We start from the raw sequence: 19,903 nt of genomic DNA, 5'->3' as shown, positions 1-19,903 counted from the left end.
TTTGAGATGGAGTCTTGCTCTGTCACCCAGGCTGGAGTGCAGTGGTGCAATCTCGGCTCACTGTACCCTCCACCTCCCGGGTTCCAGTGATTCTCCTGCCTCAGCCTCCCGAGTAGCTAGGATTACAGGCATGGGCCACCACGCCCAGCTAATTTTTGTATTTTTGGTGGAGGCCGGGTTTCCACCATGTTAGCCAGGATGGTCTCAATCTCCTGACCTCGTGATCCACCCGCCTCGGCCTCCCCAAGTGCTGGGATTACAGGCGTGAGCCACCGCACCTGGCCTATTTTTCATTTTTAATTGAAACATCTTTGTGCACATGCCTTTTTCTACTTATTCAATTAATTACTTTCAATAATTTCCCAGGAGTAAGGCCCTGGGTTTTGAATAGACGTGTAATTTAAAGACAGTAATGTAAAGAAATACCAGCCTAACATCAGCAAAGATTTCATAGTTCAGTATAAAATGACATTTATAATAGACCTAGAGTTTCAAGGGTTGACCACATCAACCCCAAGTGTGCTTGGAACCCACTGCTGGCTGGGCACGGTCGCTCACGCCTGTAATCCCAGCACTTTGGGAGGCCAAGGCGGGTGGATTGCCTGAGGTCAGGAGTTCAAGACCCGCCTGGCCAACATGGCGAAATCCCGTCTCTAATAAAAAACGCAAAAATTAGGGCAGGTGCGGTGGCTCACACCTGTAATCTCAACACTTTGGGAGGCCAAGGCAGGTGGATCACCTGTCAGGAGTTCGAGACCAGCCTGGCCAACATGGTGAAACCTGTCTCATGTGTCCGGGTGAAGAGACCACCAAACAGGCTCTGTGTGAGCAACATGGCTGTTTATTTCACCTGGGTGCAGGCGGGTTGAGTCCGAAAAAGGAGTTAGCACAGGGCGGTGGGATTATCATTAGTTCTTATAGGTTTTGGGATAGGCTGTAGAGTTAGGAGCAATGTTTTGGGGGCAGGGGGTGGATCTCACAAAGTACATTCTCAAAGGTAGGGAGAATTACAAAGAAACTTCTTAAGGGTGGAGGAGATTATAAAGAACATTGATCAGTTAGGGTGGGGCAGAAACAAATCACAATGGTGGAATGTCATCGGTTAAGCTATTTTCACTTCTGTGGATCTTCAGTTGCTTCAGGCCATCTGGATGTATATGTGCAAGTCACTGGGGATATGATGGCTTAGCTAGGGCTCAGAGGCCTGACAAAACCCCGTCTCTATTAAAAATACAAAAATTAGCTGCGTGGTGGCAGGCACCTGTAATCCCAGCTACTCGAGAGGTTGAGGCAGGAGAATCGCTTGAATCCAGGAGGCGGAGGTTGCAGTGAGCCAAGATTGTGCCATTGCACTCCAACCTGGATACAAGAGCGAGACTTCGTTTCAAACAAAAACAAACAAACAAACAAACAAAGACCCAAAAATCAGCAGGGCATGGTGGTGGGTGCCTGTAATCCCAGCTACTCAGAGGCTGAGGCAGGGAGAATTGCTTGAACCCAGGAGGTGGAGGCTGCTGAGAGCGGAGATCATGCCACTGCACTCCAGCATGGGCGACAGAAGGAGACTCAAAAAAAAAAAAGAAAGGAAAGGAAAGGAAAGGAAGAAAGGGAAAGAAAGAAAGGGAAAGGAAGAAAGAAAGGGAAAGGAAGAAAGAAAGAAAGGAAGGAAGGAAGGAAGGAAGAGAAAGAATGAACCCACTGCTGCCCCTGGCTCAGGGTAGAAAAGAAACTGGGTTCCTAGCAGAGGCAGCTGGGATGGAAGAAAAGGATGTCTCTGGATCTCAGAGAAACATCAGGTTTTGAAACAATTTTTGGCCACTGTGGTGTCTGCGGCTATTCAGGACTGATTTGTCCCTTAAAAACTTTACAAGTCAGGGCCGGGCGCGGTGGCTCACGCCTGTAATCCTAGCATTTCGCGAGGCCAAGGCGGATGGATCACCTGAGATCGGGAGTTCGAGACCAGCCTGACCAACATCAAGAAATCCCGTCTCTACTAAAAATACAAAAATTATCCAGGCTTGGTGGCGCATGCCTGTAATCTCAGCTACTCGGGAGGCTGAGGCAGGAGAATCGTTTGAACCTGGGAGGCGGAGGTTGCAGTGAGCCGAGATTGTGCCATTGCATTCCAGCCTGGGCAACAAGAACGAAATTCTGTCTCAAATAAAACAAAACAAACAAACAAAAACTTTACAAGTCAAACTTTCTGGCACTGACGCCCTCCCCAGGAGAAAATGACTCTCAAAGAGGAGCTCCCTCATCCTTCTGCAGAAAAAGAGGTAAGGAAACACAAGAAGTCCTTAGCGCAGAGTCCCAATTCCTCCCTCATAGATGTGAAACGCCAGGATGCTGGAAAGCCACTACGGCCTCTGGCCATGCACCAGTTGTAGTTTTGTGTGTTGGCTGCTCCACTGTTGTCTGCCAGCCCACAGGAGGGAAAGTGAGGCTCCTGGAAGGACGCTCCTTCAGATGGAAGCAGCACTGGAAGAGCCCCAAGTTGAGGTGCATGGGACACAAACTAAGTGAACATATTTTGGATTTAAAAAAAAGAACTTTATAAGTCATGCCTGGGTGTGGTGGCACATGCCTGTAGTCCCAGCTACTTGGGAAGCTGAGGCAGGAGGATGGCTCGAGCCCAGGAGTTTGAGGCTGCAGTGAGCCATGATAGCGCCTATAGATAACCATTCCAGCCTGGGCAATATGGTGAGACCCCCATCTCTCTCTGTCTTTTTGTATTTTTGAGACAGAGTCTGGCTTTGTCACCCAGGCTGGAGTTCAGTGGCGCATCTGGGCTCACTGCAACCACCTGGGTTCAGTCGCCTCCTGGGTTCAAGCAATTCTCCTGCCTCAGCCTCCAGAGTAGCTGGGACTACAGGTTCACACCACCACACCAGCTAATTTTTGTATTTTTAGTAGAGACAGGGTTTCACCATGTTGACTAGGCTGGTCTCAAAACTCCTGGCCTCAAGCAATCCGCCCACCTTGGCAACCCAAAGTGCTGGTATTACGGGCATGAGCCACCAGGCCTGGCTGAGACCCCCATCTCTCTCTCTCTTTTTTTTTTTTTTTTGAGACGGAGTCTTGCTCTGCCACCCAGGCTGGCATGCAGTGGCGCCATCTCGGCTCACTGCAAGCTCCGCCTCCTGGGTTCACACCATCTTCCTGCCTCAACCTCCCGAATAGCTGGGACTACAGGCACCCGCCACCACGCCTGGATAATTTTTTTGTATTTTTAGTAGAGACGGGGTTTCACTGCGTTAGTCAGGATGGTCTCGATCTCCTGACCTTGTGATCCACCTGCCTCGGCCTCCCAAAGTGCTGGGATTACAGGCGTGGGCCACTATGCCCGGCCAAGACCCCCATCTCTTAATTAAAAAAAAAAAAGAAAGAAAAAAAAAGGTAGACATTGTCAAAGTTATTTGGTGTGGTGAGTTACAGTCACTCCACTGGCTTTGATCTAATGATGTGGAAACAGAGGCAACTTTAACAACTACTTATACTTTTTATAAAATTATTCAACATAACAAAACATTGTTCAATATAAAAGTATCTGATCTAGCCAAGTTTCCTGTGAAAACAACAGCACACACAGGCATATCGCTGCAGGATAGGGCCAGACAGTCCCTTCACTTCTAGGTGGGTCCCTTCACTTTGCATTAGGGATGCTCCCTCCCTGCGGCTGCCAGGTGCTCCCTTCCTGTGGAGTGGATCCAGAACAAGAGCTCCCTCATCACGGGGAGGGCCAGAACCCTCAGCCAGAGACTCTCCACCTTCAAGGGTTAGGACAGTGGAGAGACTGCATGCCACTCCTGCTGTGGTGGGCGCAAATGCCACCAAGCTCCGCAAGCTCAGGGCTCTTTTTTTTTTTGAGACGGAGTCTCACTCTGTCACCCAGGCTGGAGTGCAGTGGCATGATCTCAGCTCACTGCAAGCTCCGTCTCCCAGGTTCACGCCATTCTCCTACCTCAGCCTCCTGAGTAGCCAGGACTGCAGGCACCCGTCACCATGCCCAGCTAATTTTTTGTATTTTTAGTAGAGACAGGGTTTCACCGTGTTAGCCAGGATTGTCTCGATCTCCTGACTTCGTGATCCACCCTCCTCGGCCTCCCAGAGTGCAGGGATTACAGGCGTGAGCCACCGCACCCAGCCCCTCAGCTCAGGGGTCTTGCACTCTGGAGCGCGGAATGGCTTTCCAAGATTGATTTCCTTGGGGGTGTTGCCTCACATAAGTTGCTCTGATTGGCTGCCTGCAAATTAGTAAATTTGCAGTATTTTAATACTGCAAATACTGGGACTAGTATGCCAGTCCCAGATATGACAAGTGCACCCCTTGCTCTGATGTAGATTTTATGAATATGTAAGTAGGCAGTCCTAGTATATTGATAGTGATAAAAGATATGTTGACCCTCACTGGGTCACGTAGGGCAGCCCCCATATGTTGGAATTGATAATGTGCTCAGAACTGAGACCTAGGTCACAGTTCATATAACAACCCACTCTACATGCATAAATGAACAGGAAGAAAATCATAATTTCTCATAATTCCGCTAGCTAACAGTTTTTTGAGGTTAGACACATCTATGTATTCATGCATTTGTTGTGATTTTTTTGTCTGTTTTTTTGTTTTTTTGAGACACGGTTTTGCTCTTGTTGCCCAGGCTGGAGTGCAATGGCATGATCTCTGCTCACCGCAACCTCTGGTTCCCAGGTTCAAGCGATTCTTCTGCCTCAGCCACCCGAGTAGCTGGGATTACAGGCACGAGCCCCCACACCGAGCTAATTTTGTATTTTTAGTAGAGACGAAGTTTCTCTATGTTGGTCAGGCTGGTCTCGAATTCCTGACCTCAGGTGATTTGCCCGTCTTGGCCTCCCAAAGAGCTCGGATTACAGGCGTGAGCCACCGCACCCGTCCTATTTTAACTTTTTCAAAATATGTATCTGTGCATATAAAACATCACAACAGGCCAGACGCAGTGGTTTACGCCTGTGATCCCAGCACTTTGGGAGGCTGAGGCAGGCGGATCACAAGAGGTCAGGAGTTCGAGACCAGCCTGGGCAACATGGTGAAATCCCTTCTCTACTAAAGATACAAAAATTAGCTGGGCATGGTGGCAGGCGCCTGTAATCCCAGCTGCTTAGGAGGCTGAGGCAGAAGAATCGCTTAAGCCTGAGAGGCGGAGATTGCATTGAGCTGAGATCATGCCACTGCACTCCAGCCTGGGCTACAGAATGAGACTCCATCTCAAGAAAAAAGAAAAAATTAAAACAAAAAATACAGTAATAAAATTGAGATAATACTATGCATACTGTCGCATACCTTATTTTTCACATAAACACATACTAGTGGACATATTTCTGAGTTTGCCCAGAAATGATTAATTAGGTGTTCTCGAGTAGGTTACTTTCCCCATGCTTCAGTGTTGTCATCTACAAAGATAAAAATATAAGTATCTTTTTTTGAGACGGAGTCTTCGCTCTGTCTCCCAGGGTTGAGTGCAGTGGCGTGATCTCGGCTCATTGCAACCTCCACCTCCCTGGTTCAAGCAATTCCCCTGCCTCCCGAGTAGCTGGGATTACAGGCGCACTCCATCATGCCCAGCTAATTTTTTTGTATTTTTTTTAGTAGAGATGGGGTTTTACCACGTTGGCCAGACTGGTCTCAAACTCCTGACCTCCAGCAATCCGCCCGCCTCAGCCTCCCAAAGTGCTGGGATTATAGGCGTGAGCCACCATGCCCAGCCAAAAATACAAGTATCTTAATCACAAGGAGTATTGTCAGGATTAAATAAAATAATGTCTATAAAGCGCTTAATACAGGTCTAGTAAATTAAGTATTTTTAAATATTTTTCTCCAAAATTTTAAATGGCTGTAGAGCATTTCATTGTTCTGATATACTGGCATATGTATAAATAAACATACATTTACGTACTATAAATGTGTTTATTATTTATGTTATATATTACTTATATATGATATATCTGACATGTATTGATATATTTATATACTGATATATGTATTAATCAAGATTTCATATACATTATATAGTTTATATATATACACACACACACACACACACACAAACCAATTCCTTACCTTTAAACATTTAGGTTGTTTGTTCTTTTTCAAGATTATTAAAAAATCCAGGCCAGGCACAGTGGCTCACACCTGTAATCTCAACACTTTTGGAGGCCAAGGCAGGTGGATCACGTGAGGCCAGGAATTTGAGGCCAGCCTGGGCAACATATGGAGACCCCCATCTCCACAAAACAATAAAATTAAAAAAAAAATAGCTGGGTGTAGTGGTTTGCACCTGTAGTCCCAGCTACTCAAGAGGCCTAGGTGGGAAGATAGCTTGACCCCAGGAGCTCGAGGCTGCATTGTGCTATGATCACACCACTATACCCCAGCCTGGGCAACACAACCAGAACACATCTCAAAATAAATAAATAAAATCATATCTTAAATATTTGTCCAGTTATATATTATATTTCATTTTATTATTTTTTTTAGAGACAGGGTGTCAGTTGTGTAATCCAGACTGGAATATAATGGTGCAATCATAGCTCATTGCAGCCTCCACCTCCTGGGCTCAAATGATCTTTCCACCTTGGCCTCCCAAAGTGCTGAGATTACAGGTGTGAGCCACAGTGCCCAGCTTCATATTGTATTTTAAATACCAAAGTGTTGGCCAGGTGTGGTGGCTCCTGCCTGTAATCCCAGCACTTTGGGAGGCCAAGGTGGGTGGATCACCTGAGCTCAGAAGTTTGAGACCAGCCTGGCCAACATGGTGAGACCCTGTCTCTACTAAAAATACAAAAATTAGCAGGGCATTGTGGCATGTGCCTGTAATCCCAGCTACTCAGGAGGCTGAGGCAGGAGAATCACCTGAACCTGGGAGGCAGAGGTTGCAGTGAGCCGAGATCGCACCACTGCACTCCAGCCTGGGCGACTGAGCGAGACGTTGTCTCAAAAAACAAAACAAAACAAAAAACTAAAGTGTTAACCCAAATTGAAATCAGGAAAAACATCATTGATTATATTTACCCATTTCTAAATGTTTTATAAAAGGAGTCATATAGCGTGTATGATTGTGAGACTCATTCATGTTGTTGCAGGCAGTTGTGCTTAGTTTGTTTTCCCTGCTGTATAGTATTCCATGATCCTACCTGTTTCACCACCTCCTTTTAGTTGCTTATAAAATTTTTAAAAATTGACATGTAGTTTCGCTACATTGCCCAGGACAGATTCAAAGTCCTGGTCTCAAGTGGTCCTCATGCCTCAGCCTTCCAAGTAGCTGGGACTACAGGTGCATGCCACCAGGCCTAGCAGTTGCTTCTGCATTTAACTATGTGTTGCTAATATCCAGATTCTACTAAAAGTCCTAGACTTACATTGATGAGCTAAGGCCAACAAGAATAACCATCATTTTCCTTTGGGTAATTTATTTTGTGGAAATCCTAATAACGTAACAAACACTAAAATTCTTGACTAAGTCAATATCGAAACTCTTAATTTCGGTGAGTTAAAGATTTTTTTCAGCTGAATGCAGTGGCTCACGTCTATAATCCCAGCACTTTGGGAAGCGAAGGCAGGAGGATTTCTTGAATCCAGGAGTTCAGACTAGCCTGGGCAACATAGTGAGACTGCCCCCTATCAAAAAGAAAAAAAAAATTACCCAGGCGTGGTGGTGCACACCTGTGGTCCCAGCTACTCAGGTAGCTGAAGCTGGAAGATCTGGTCTTCCTGGGAGGTTGAGGCAGCAATGAGCCATGATCATGCCATTTGCACTCCAGCCTGGGTGACTCAAAGAGACTGTCTCAAAAAAAAAAAAAAGATTTTGTTTCCATTTTTCTCTCAAGAAACTTTAAAGACTGCCCCAATAAGAATAAAATCATCAACTGAACATTTCAAGAAGGCTTTCTCCTCTGAAGAAGGTTACCTCTACCCTGCAGTTCTTTGCTACCCAATTTTAGTCACAAAACCCTGGAATGGGCCAGGCGCGGTGGCTCACACCTGTAATCCCAGCACTTTGGGAGCCAAGGAGGGCGGATTGCCTGAGGTCAGGAGTTCGAGACCAGTTTGGCCAACATGGTGAAATCTCGTCTCTACCAAAAATACAAAAAAATTAGCCAGGGGTGGTGGCATGTGCCTGTAATCCCAGCTACTCAGGAGGCTGAGGCAGGGGAATTGTTTGAACCAGGGAGATGGAGGTTGCAGTGAGCCAAGATCGTGCCACTGCACTCCAGCCTGGGCAACAGAGAGAGAATCTGTCTCAAAAACAAACAAACAAACAAAAACCTGGAGTGAAAAACACCCTTGCAATCCCAATCCAGTCTCTCATTTTGCAGAAGAGAAAGCAGACTCAGAGGGAGACAGGGACTCTTCCAGGGCCACCAATGAACTGGAGGCAGAGACGCTAAGTTCTGCCACCTTCCTGACTAATGCAACTCTAGTCCTAAGGCCTGGTCATGGCCAGCCCTGCCTCCACCTGCTTGGCTTCCTCTCCTGGTCCTTAAGATGACTGAGCAGAAAGCCCTGGGCAAGCCCAGGTGACTCAGAGCTGAGGGTTAGGAGGGTCAGGGTGGGGTAGTGGGTGGTGCAGGAGTGCCTGGTTATTCACAAGAGGGAGAAAGGCTCTTAGAACGGGAACCTGGGAAGACTTCATGGAGCAGGGCCAGTCGGCTTTGGACTCAGGCCAAGAGCAGCCTAGAAGCTGCACCGGAAGGATCCGAGGAGGCAACTGGTGGGAAGAGAGGGCTGCAGAGGCCGAGTGGAGCCAGCATGGGGCCTCCCTGCCAGTCATGGGGCTGTGGAGTTTTCATTCTGCAAAGCTACAGAGCCACTGAAGGGCTGGTTGGTTTGTTTTCTTTCTTATTTTGGTGGCCAAATGTATATAACAAAATTTGCCATTTTAATCATTTTTAGGCAGCAATTCAGTGACATTAATTATATTATTGTGCAACTATCACTGATAACTATTTCCAAAACTTCTCCATCACCACAAACAGAAACTCTGTACCCATTAAGCAATAACTCCCACTTTCTGTCTCTATGAATTTGTCCCCTTTTATTTATTTTTTTAAGACAGGGTCTTGCTTAGTCGACTACCCAGGCTGGAATGCAGTGGTGCCATCATAGTTCACTGCAGCCTCAAATTCCCTGGATTTTGCCTATTACAGATGTTTCTTATAACTGGAATCATACAATATTTGTCCTTTTGTGCCTGGCACATTTAACCTAGAAATGTTTTTAAGATTCATCCGTGTTGGCTGGGCGCGGTGGCTCACGCCTGTAATCCCAGCACTTTGGGAGGCTGAGGCGGGCGGATCACAAGCTCAGGAGATCGAGACCATCCCGGCTAACACAGTGAAACCCTGTCTCTACTAAAAATACAAAAAAAAAATAGCCAGGCGTGGTGGTGGGCGCCTGTAGTCCCAGCTACTCGGGAGGCTGACGCAGGAGAATGGCGTGAACCCGGGAGGCGGAGCGTGCAGTGAGCCGAGATCGTGCTACTGCACTCCAGCCAAAAAAAAAAAAAAAAAAGATTCATCCGTGTTGTACCTACCATGTATCAGAATTTCATTCCTTTTGGTTTTTGGTGGGGCTGAATATATCATGCTTTTTTTTTTTTTTTTTTTGAGACAGAGTCTAGCTCTGTCGCCCAGGCTGGAGTGCAGTGGCGCAATCTTGGCTCACTGCAGCCTCTGCCTCCCGGGTTCAAGTGATTCTCCTGCCTCAGCCTCCTGAGTAGCTGGGACTACAGGCGCCCACCACCACGCTCGGCTAATTTTTGTATTTTTAGTACAGATGGGGTTTCACCATGTTGGCCAGGATGGTCTCGGTCTCCTGACCTCCTGATCCGCCCACCTCGGCCTTCCAAAGTGCTGGGATTACAAGTGTGAGCCACCACAGCCAGCCAATATCATGCTTTTGTTTGTTTTTATTGTGGTAAAACATACATAACTTAGAATTTATCATTTTAACCATTTTTACATGTAAAATTCAGTGGCATTAAGTGCATTCACATTGTTGTGAGCCATCACAACTCTCCATTTCCGGAATTTTTCATCTTCCCAAACTGATACTCTGTACTCATTAAACACTAACTCCCCATTCTTTCTCACCCCAGCCACTGGCAACCAGTACTTTCTGTCTCAAGGAATTAGACTATTCCGCATACCTCATATAAGTGAAATCTCATTTGTCCATATGTAGTTGGTTTATTTCACTTAGCATACAATTCTCAAAGTTTACCCCTGTTGCAGCATGTGTCAGAATCTCATTCCTTTTCAAGGCTGGATAATATCTCATTGTGTGTGCAATAATACTCCATTCTGCATTTTGTTTATCCATTAATCCATTGTTGGATGTTTGGGTTACTTGTGCCTTTCAGCTATTGTAAATGATGCTGGTATGATGACTGGTATACACAAAACCGTTAAAATCCTTGCTTTTGATTCCTTGCAATATATACGTAGAAATGAAATTGCTGGATCATATGGCGGTTTGGTTTAAATTTTTAAGGACTCATCAAACTGTTTTCCAGAGAGACCCACCAGCAATGCATGAGGGTTCCAATTCGTCCACATTCTTGCCACCACTTGTTATTTCCTATTTTCGTTCCATTTTAAGGCCAAGTAATCTTCCATTGAAGAGTATATACCGTGTTTTGTGTACCTGTTCATCTATTGATGAACATGAGTTGTTTCTGCCTTTTGGCTGTTGTGAACAATGCTAATGCTTCAATGACCATTGGTGTTTGTGTCCCTGTGTTTAATTCTTTGGGGTATACACCTAGGAGTAGAATTGCTGGGTCATATGGTAAGTCTATGTTTAACTTTTTGTTTTGTTCTGTTTTGTTTTTGAGACAGAGTCTCGCTCTGTCGCCCAGGCTGGAGTGCAGTGGTATGATCTCGGCTCACTGCAACCTCTGCCTCCCAGGTTCAAGCGATTCTCCTGCTTCAGCCTCTCGAGTAGCTGGGATTACAGGCACCCACCACCACGCCCAGCTAACTTTTGTAAATTTAGTAGAGACGGGGTTTCACCATATTGGCCAGGCTGGTCTCAAACTCCTGACCTCAAGTGATCCACCCGCCTCGGCCTCCCAAAGTGTTGGGATTACAGGCATTAGCCACTGCGCCTGGCCTGGTTGGATTGTTTTCTAGAGACACCAGCAGTTATTTCTTTGACTTCGGTTTGATTAACTGATGACTAGAAGAGGTGATAAAATTACTGTACTTAGAAAATATTATATGAAATATATCTATATAGGAGGGCTGGGTGCGGTGGTTCACACCTGTAATCCCAGCACTTTGGGAGGCTGAGGTGGGCAATCACTTGAGGTCAGGAATTCAAATCTCTACTAAAAATACAAAAATTAGCCAGACGTGATGACGGGAGCCTGTAATCCCAGCTACTCAGGAGGCTGAGGCAAGAGAATAGCTTGAACCCAGGAAGCGGAGGTTGCAGTGAACGGAGATCGTGCCATTGCACTCTAGCCTGGGTGACAAGAGTGAAATTCTGTCTCAAAATAAAATAAAATAAAAATAAAAACAAAGCTTAGCTAGGCATGGTGGCGGATGCCTGTAGTACCAGCTATTTGGGAGGCTGAGGCAGGAGAATTGCCTGAACCCGGGAGGCAGAGGTTGCGGTGAGCAGAGATCGCGCCAATGCACTCCAGGCTGGGTGACAAGAGCGAAATTCCATCTCAAAGAAAATAAAATAGGCTGGGCACAGTGGCTTACACCTGTAATCCTAACATTTTGGGAGGCCGAGGCGGGCAGATTGCCTGATCTCAGGAGTTCGAGACCAGCCTGGGCAACATGGTGAAACCCTGTTTCTACTAAAATAAAAAAATAAAAAAATAAAATTAGCCAGGCATGGTGGCGTGCGCCTGTAGTCCCACCTACTCGGGAGGCTGAGGCAGGAGAATTGCTTGAACCAGGAGGCAGAGGTTGCAGTGAGCCGAGATCGTGCCACTGCACTCCAGCCTGGCAACAGAGTGAGACTCCGTCTCAAAAAAAAAAATAAATAAATAAAATAAAATAAAAATAAAAACAAAAATTAGCTGGCCAGGCACGGTGGCTCACACCTGTAATCCCAACACTTTGGGGGGCCAAGGCGGGCAGATCACCTGAGGTCAGGAGTTTGAGACCAACCTGGCCAACATGGAGGAACCCTGTCTCTACCAAAAATACAAAAATTGGCCAGGCGTGGTGGCATGCGCCTGTAGTCCCAGCTACTCAGGAGGCTGAGGCAGGAGAATCGCTTGGACCCGGGAGGTGGAGGTTGCAGTGAGCCGAGGTCGCGCCACTGCACTCCAGCCTGGGTGACAGAGGGAGACTCCGTCTCAAAAAAAAAAAAAAAAAAATTAGCTAAGCGTGGTGACAGACGCCTGCAGTCCCAACTACTTGGGAGGCTGAGGCAGGATAATTGCCTGAACCCAGAAGGCGGAGGTTGCAGTGAGCCGAGATCACGCCACTGCACTCCATCCAGCCTGGGCAACAGAGCGAGACTCCATCTCAAAAAAAAAAAAAAAAAATATATATATATATATAGAGAGAGAGAGAGAGTAGAATATTAAAGTATAAGAAAAAAACATAAAATATTTTATGTATTGCTAGTTTCATATAGACTACAAATGTCCTTGAATCAATTAATGCATTCCTTTTATAAAGATTTATATAATGCTATAAAATCCATGATTTATATTTACTTGGCTTGTCCTAGGCTGGGACAGCCTGAGATATTTTGTACGTGGACTCTGCCAACTCATTTGTGTTTATTTCTCAGAAAGACAGTTCCAGAACACAAGCTGATTATCTGAAAGCCTGCTGGATAAAGTAAAATATTTAAAAGCAAACAATGTTTATAGTTGCTCTGATTCAGCACAATTTAGATTCTGTTTTGGCAAAGAAAACTTAACGTTCTGCTACTTCTCAGCCACCATCAATAGGGAGAGCTTCAAGCCCCTTATCCAAGTGACCATCCTTGCAAAGGCAGCCTCTGGAGACAGTGGCTGGCAGCCAGCGTGGACAGGCCTCTCAGGCTGCATCGTGCCTTTATGTCACTTTGGCACATTTGTTTGCAAAATCAGGGCTGACTTGTGTTGTTTTAATTTGAAGCGAAATGAAGGGATAAGAATTCAACTAGAGACTTAAAAAGGAAATAAATTCTGAGCATGAGCTACAACATGGGTGAACCTTGAGGACATCATGCTAAGTGAATAAGCCAGTCACAAAAGGAAAATACTGTATGGTTCTACTTACATGAGGGCCCTAGAGTAGTCAAATTCATAAAGACAGAAGGCAGAATGACAGTTGCTAGGGGGTGGGGGAAGGGAAAATGGGGAGTTAGTGTTTCATGGGGACAGAGTTTCAGTTGAGGAAGACAAAAAAGTTCTGAGATGGATGGTGGTGACGGTTGCCCAACAATGTGAATGTACTTAGTGCCACCGGACTCTTCACTTAAAGTGGTAAATTTTATGTTATGTGTATATATATATACACACACACACACACATATATATATATACGTATATATATGTATATGTATGTGTGTGTGTATATATATATATATATATATATATATATTTTTTTTTTTTTTTTTTGAGATGGAGTCTCACTCTGTCGCCCAGGCTGGAGTGCATTGGCGCCATCTCTGCTCACTGCAAGCTCCGCCTCGCGGGTTCACGCCATTCTCCTGCCTCAGCCTCTCCGAGTAGCTGGGACTACAGGTGCCTGCCACCACGCCCGGCTAATTTTTTTGTATTTTCAGTAGAGACGGGGTTTCACCTTGGTCTCGATCTCCTGACCTCGTGATCCGCCCACCTCAGCCTCCTAAAGTGCTGGGATTACAAGCGTGAGCCACCGCGCCCGGCCATTATGTATATTTTACCACAATAAAACATTCAGATAGAGAATCCACTCCAAAGCTGCAGAAGGCCTTGGCTTGTAAAACAGAAATCTGCTAGCCAAGCATGGTGGTATATACCTGTAGTCCTAGCCACTTGGGAAGCTGAGATGGGAGAATCGCTTGAACCCAAGAGTTCAAGGTTTCAGTGAGCTAGGATTGTGCCACTGCACTCCAGCCTGGGCAACAGAGGGAGACCCTGTCTCTAAAACAGCAACAACAAAAACAACCAGAAATCTGTTTAGTCTTCCTTTAATGAACACTGACCCTTTTAAAAAAATCAACTTAAAATGTAGTGAGGTGGGCAGGGCACAGTGGCTCACGTCTGTAATCCTAGCACTTAGGGAGGCTCAGGCTGGGGGATCACTTGAGGTTAGGAGTTTAAGACAAGCCTGGCCAACATGGTGAAACCCCTTCTTTACAAAAACACAAAAATTAGTTGGGCATGGTGGTACATGCCTGTAGTCCCAGCTACTCAGGAGGCTGAGGCAGGAGAATTGCTTGAACCCAGGAGGTGGAGGTTGCAGTGAGCTGAGATCATGCCACTGCACTCCAGCCTGGGCAACAAAGTGAGACTTGGTCTCAAAAAAAAAAAAAAAAAGTGGTGAGGTGGAGACTTAGAAATTAAAAAAAAAAAATCCTTCCAGATTAAAGTTCTAAGTCAGACTCGGTGTCAGATGCAGTGGGCGCAGGGGGTCAGTATCCAGGGCCATCATTCTGCCACGTACACAATGTGGCCAGGCTGATGACAGGCTCAGCCTGCCTTTGTACACTTGTCCCTTTCAATTTAACAAATGGCTGTAAGCACCTACTCTAGGCCAGCACTAGGGAGACAGAAAATACTTGTGACCCAGTCCTGTCCTAGGAGCAGCCATCCTGGTGGGGAAGCCCCCATGTGTTTCTGTAGAACCTTTCAGCCCAGTACATAGCATACCTGATGGAGTGGGGGCGGGGCTCTGCCAGGGCATCTCCTCCTGAGGGTGTGTGGGTCACTGCCTGCAAAGACTGTGACCCAAGGATGCGTGGTTCACCTGGGAGTTGGCAGGAACGGCAAGCACAAGAGTGGTCCAGGCAGAGTATGTGCAGGGCATGAAGGCAGGAAACTCCCAAAAACTCTCCACAGCCCATGTGGCTGCAGGGAGAGGCAAACCTAGACCACAGAGGCCCACATGGCTTTAGCGTGTCCTGGTGTCATAGAATACTCTGCTTGTATGGTAGGCTCTTGTCATTTGTAGGCTGAAGCAGTCTTAGTTTGGCCTGTTCTCTGGTGACCCTGAAGGTCCAGGACAGTGTTACTTGGTCATTCTGCTAAGGCATAGAGTTGGGCTTTTCTTGGCTGAGAGCGGGAGAACTTTGTTGTTGCCATTGTTTGCTTACCTCACTACGTGGCATTCTCCCGTTGGCAGTGTTTGTGTGTTTATGTTTTGGCAAAGCTCTCTCTAAACACAGCCCTGGTAAAGTAAACTCCATAAGGCTGGGCACAGTGGCTCACACCTATCATCCCAGCATTTTGGGAGGCCAAGGTGGGTGGATTGCTTGAAGCCAGGAGTTCGAGACCAGCCTGGGCAACATAGGGAGACCCTATCTTTACAAAAAATACAGAAATTAGCTGGGACTCACACCTGTGGTCCCAGCTACTGGGGAGGCTGAGGTGGGAGGATCATTTGAGCTTGGGAGGCAGAGGTTGCAGTGAGCCGAGATCATGCCACTGCACTCCAGTCTGGGCAACAGAGAGAGACCCTGTGTCAAAAACAACAACAACAACAACAACTCCATAAGCCAGATGATCCTCTGTGTCATCTGCAGTGCCTGGAACATGCCTGTCACACAGTAGGTTCTCAATAAATGTTTGCTGAGTGTACTTTTTTTTTTTGCAACCCTATTAACTGAAGAATGAATTATTGAATCATTTGCCAGAGTTCTACTGCATTTGGTTCTGTATTCTTCTCTATTGGAGTGTAGCCCGTGGGCAGGGACAGTGTCTCTTTAGTAGGAGCCAAGAATTAAATGAATCCTGTTAAATTACCATGTTACTTATAAGCAAATGCAGGTTCAGGGCTGATGCAGAAACAGAATTTTTGCTAATGTGATTTTGGCTATATGTTTTTTACATTCATTTACATACCAAAATTCGGGTAATATCTACTTTTTAATTCTAAATTTATTCAGTTATTTAGTTTATTTACTTAGTTTTTCTAAAGTTTCAACTAATTAAAATTTCCTAGCTTTATTTTATGATTTTGATCAGAATTTGTATATTATTCCTACCTATTCAAACTGTGTATAAAACCGTATAAAACAGCTTTTCACATGAAGAAATATGATGTCTATTTTAATGCCTCTTTTGTTTTTTGTATAATATAGGTACAGGGGGAATGAAACTAATAATTATTCAGTGGCCAGTAAATACTAGGCTTGAGCTGGGCACTTTTACATATGCAATCTCATTTCATTTAAGCCTCACAAAGTCATGTGAAGATGATCTATGTTTTGGAGACAAGAAAACTGAGCTCACAGAGGTTGAAGAACTTGCTCCAAGATAAAGTCCTGATTCAAACCCTGTTCTGACTGTTTTCAAAATGTATGTTTTTTTGGTATTTCTATAGCACTCAGTAATGGTTATTGGACTGTAAGCAACAGAAATTGTGCATTTAAGGTATGAGGACACTCTGGGCACAGTGGCTCCTGCCTGTAGTCCCAACTACTCAGGAGGCTGAGGCAGGAAGATTACCTGACTCCTGGAGTTTAGGGCTGTAGTGAGCCATGACTGTACCACTGCATTCCAGCCTGGGCAACAGAGCAAGATCCCATCTCTAAATAAATTAACAAAAATTTAAATATAAAGCAACTATTATCAATATGTTAAAGGTTACAACAGACATAATGAATGAAAAGATTAGTTATTGCTGGAGAGAAATGGAAACTTAAAAGTAGCCAGGCTGGGCATGGTGGCTCACACCTATAATCCCAGCAGTTTGGGAGGTCAACATAGGAGGATCACTTGAGGCCAGAAGTTCAAAACCAGCCTGGCCAACATGGTGAAACCCCATCTTTATTAATAATACAAAAATTAGCTGGGCATGGTGGCATGCACTTGTAATCCCAGCTACTTGGGAGGCTGAGGCAGGAGAATCACTTGACCCTGGGAGGTGAAGGTTGCAGTGAGCCAACATTGCGCCACCACACTCCAGCCTGGACGACAGAGTGAGACTCCATCTCAAAAAAAAAAAAAAAAGAAAGAAAAGAAATACCTGAGACTGGGTATTTTATTGAGAAAAGAGGTTTAATTTCTCACAGTTCTGTAGGCTGTACAAGCATGGCACCAGCATCTATCTTATCAGCTTCTGGGGAGGCCTCGGGGAGCTTTCACTCATGATGGAAGGTGAAGCAGGAGCAGGCACATCATCACATGGTGAAGGCAGGAGCAAGACAGTGTAGGGGGAAGGTGCCACACGCTTAAACAACCAATCTTATGATAACTCACTCACCATTGCAAGGACAGCACCAAGCCATGAGGGATCTGCCCCATGACCCAAACCCCTCCACCAGGCCCCACCTCCAACATTAGGGATTACATTTCAACATGAGATTTGAGTGGCGACAAATATCCAAACTATATATCATATGCCCTTAGGGAATTGCAAATTAAAACAAAAATGAGATACTATTACACATCTATTAGAATGGCCAAAATCTAAAACACTGACAATATCAAATGCTGACAAGGATGTTGAGCAACAGGAACTCTCATTCATTGCTCAGGGGAAGGGCAAATGGTACAGACACTTTGGAAGACAATTTGGCAGTTTCTTACAAAAATTAAATATACTCCTACCATATGAACCAGCAATTTGCTTTGTGGTTATTTAACCAAATGAACTGAAAATATGTCCACAAAAAACCTGCACACAGATGCTTATACCAGCTTTATTCATGATTGTCAAAACTTGGAAGCCACCAAGATGTCCTTCAGCAGGTGAATGGATAAACTGTAGTACATTCAGACAATGGAATAGCATTCAGCACTAAAAAATGAACTATCAAGACATGAAAAGACATGGAGGACCCATAAACGCGTATCACTAAGTGAAAGATGCCAATCTGAAAAGGCTACATACTGTGTGATTCCAAATACTGTACATAACAGTCTGGAAAAGCAAAAATACGGAGAAGTCCAGGTTGCCAAGGATTAGGAGAGAGTGATGAATAGGCAGAGCACAGAGATTTTGGGGGCAGTGACAACCACTCTGTATGATACTACAAAAGTGGATACATATCGTTATACTTTTGTCCAAACCCATATAATGTATGGCACCAAGAGTGAACCCTAATGTAAATTATGAACTTTTGGGGGTAATGATGAATCAGTGAAAGTTCATTGATTGTAACAAATCTATCACTCTAGTGGAGATGCTGATCCTTGTTTATGCATGTGTGGGGGCAGGGAATGAATGGGAACTCTGTACTTTCTGCTCAATTTTGCTATGAACTTAAAACTGCTCAAAACAATGTTCTGGGCTGGCCACCATGGCTCACACCTGTAATCTCAGCACTTTGGGAGGCCAAGGCACTTTGCATCACTTTACTCAGGAGTTTGAGACCAGCCTGAGCAACACAGTGAAACTTCATCTCTATCAAAATTTTTAAAAAACCCAATGTTCTGGAATTAGTGATAACAACTAATTTGATGTCATGGCACTATGAATGTACTAAAACCTACTGAATTGTACATTTTAAAAGGGTGGCTTTTATGGTATGTCAATTATATCTCAATAAAGCTGTTATTAAAAAGACACTATTTCACAAGATTATTGTGTGGATTAAACAAGATCATGTGGCATTTTGTATATGTCTGTTATAATACTTGGTAAATACTGTTTTGTAAATACTTGTTGCCTTCTACCCATAGACATTAACAGCTGCAGAGCCTGGCCTGGGCTGTCTTTTCAACTTTAGTTTTATTTTTATATTTTACTTTTTAGAGACAGGGTTTCACTCTGTTGTCCAGGCTGGAGTGCAGTGGCACGATCATGGGTCACTGCAGACTTGACCTGTTGGGCTCAAGCAATCCTCCTGCCTTGGCCTCCTAAGTAAGCTGGGAGTACAAGCACCCACACCACCACTGGCTAAGCTTTGTATCCTCAGTGTTTAGCTTAATACCTGGCATTTGGTGCTTAAGGAAGGAATTGCAGGTGAGAGACAAAGTAGAGAGAAGGACCACAGATGACTCCAAGGCTTCTAATCTGGACTAACAGATGAGTGGTGGCTGACACAGACTTTAAAATGATAAGCTGGTTTTGTTTGCTTGTTTGTATATTTGGTAAAGTACATTGTAGTTTAAATGAGTTGTATTTGAACAGTGTGTGGAAATGCCCGGTTTAATCTATCCAAATTTTAAGTAAAGATACAAGTCCCAAATTCAAAAAGGAGGTGAGGGCTGGGTGTGGTGGCTCACACCTGTAATCCCAGCACTTTGGGAGGCCAAAGCGGGTGGATTATCTGAGGTCAGGAGTTAGAAACCAGCCTGGCCAACATGGTGAAACCCCATCTCTACTAAAAAAAAAAAATACAAAATTAGCTGGGCGTGGTGGCACATGCCTGTAATCCCAGCTATTTGGGAGGCTGAGGCAGGAGAATTGCTTGATCCTGGGAGGCGGAGTTTGCAGTGACCCGAGATTGTGCCATTGCACTCCAGCCTGAGCAACAAGAGTGAAACTCCATCTTAAAACAAACAAACAAACAAAAAAAAAAAAACGAGAGAGAAAGACGTGAGGGGTAAAGCTTGAAAATGTGTCATCAGTCACCAGTGGTCTGTGGGCAAAATCCATCCTGCTAATGGGTTTCATTTGGCCAGAACAATCTTTTAAATAAGTTGCCAACAGTTGAAAATTAGAAGATTCTCAAAAATATCAAGAATTTTAACTTCTGCCAAAAGGTCAGATATCTGGCAACGCTAATCTCGTGTTCCCTAAAGGCAATGACCAGCTGCCCCGA

At 45.0% G+C, this 19,903-nt stretch overlaps 1 pseudogene, besides 4 other annotated features; it reads left to right on the top strand.

The window, feature by feature from the left end:
• Window positions 1,105–2,060: an enhancer, noted in NCBI's record as "H3K27ac-H3K4me1 hESC enhancer chr3:128937355-128938310 (GRCh37/hg19 assembly coordinates)". NCBI's record gives its function as "activates a minimal SCP1, AML or CMV promoter by ChIP-STARR-seq in primed H9 embryonic stem cells {active_cell/tissue: H9 hESC(primed)}" and the evidence as "EXISTENCE:reporter gene assay evidence [ECO:0000049][PMID:30033119]".
• Window positions 2,200–2,536, top strand: RPS27P12 (ribosomal protein S27 pseudogene 12; annotated as a pseudogene).
• Window positions 7,814–8,017: a silencer, noted in NCBI's record as "fragment chr3:128931398-128931601 (GRCh37/hg19 assembly coordinates)". NCBI's record gives its function as "represses an EF-1alpha promoter that drives an FKBP-Casp9 reporter gene in an ReSE screen in K562 erythroleukemia cells {active_cell/tissue: K562}" and the evidence as "EXISTENCE:reporter gene assay evidence [ECO:0000049][PMID:32094911]".
• Window positions 8,449–8,593: an enhancer, noted in NCBI's record as "145 bp enhancer 136 fragment used in the MPRA reporter construct; PK_construct_3873". NCBI's record gives its function as "activates an SV40 promoter by MPRA in K562 cells {active_cell/tissue: K562}" and the evidence as "EXISTENCE:reporter gene assay evidence [ECO:0000049][PMID:23512712]".
• Window positions 8,516–8,526: a transcriptional cis regulatory region, noted in NCBI's record as "NFE2L2 motif; enhancer activity is reduced when this motif is scrambled". NCBI's record gives its function as "necessary for full MPRA enhancer 136 activity {active_cell/tissue: K562}" and the evidence as "EXISTENCE:site-directed mutagenesis evidence [ECO:0005528][PMID:23512712]".

This window comes from Homo sapiens, chromosome 3 (assembly GCF_000001405.40).
Source record: "Homo sapiens chromosome 3, GRCh38.p14 Primary Assembly".
NCBI classification, from domain to species: Eukaryota; Metazoa; Chordata; class Mammalia; order Primates; family Hominidae; genus Homo; species Homo sapiens.
This window is presented reverse-complemented; position numbering and strand designations above follow the sequence as displayed.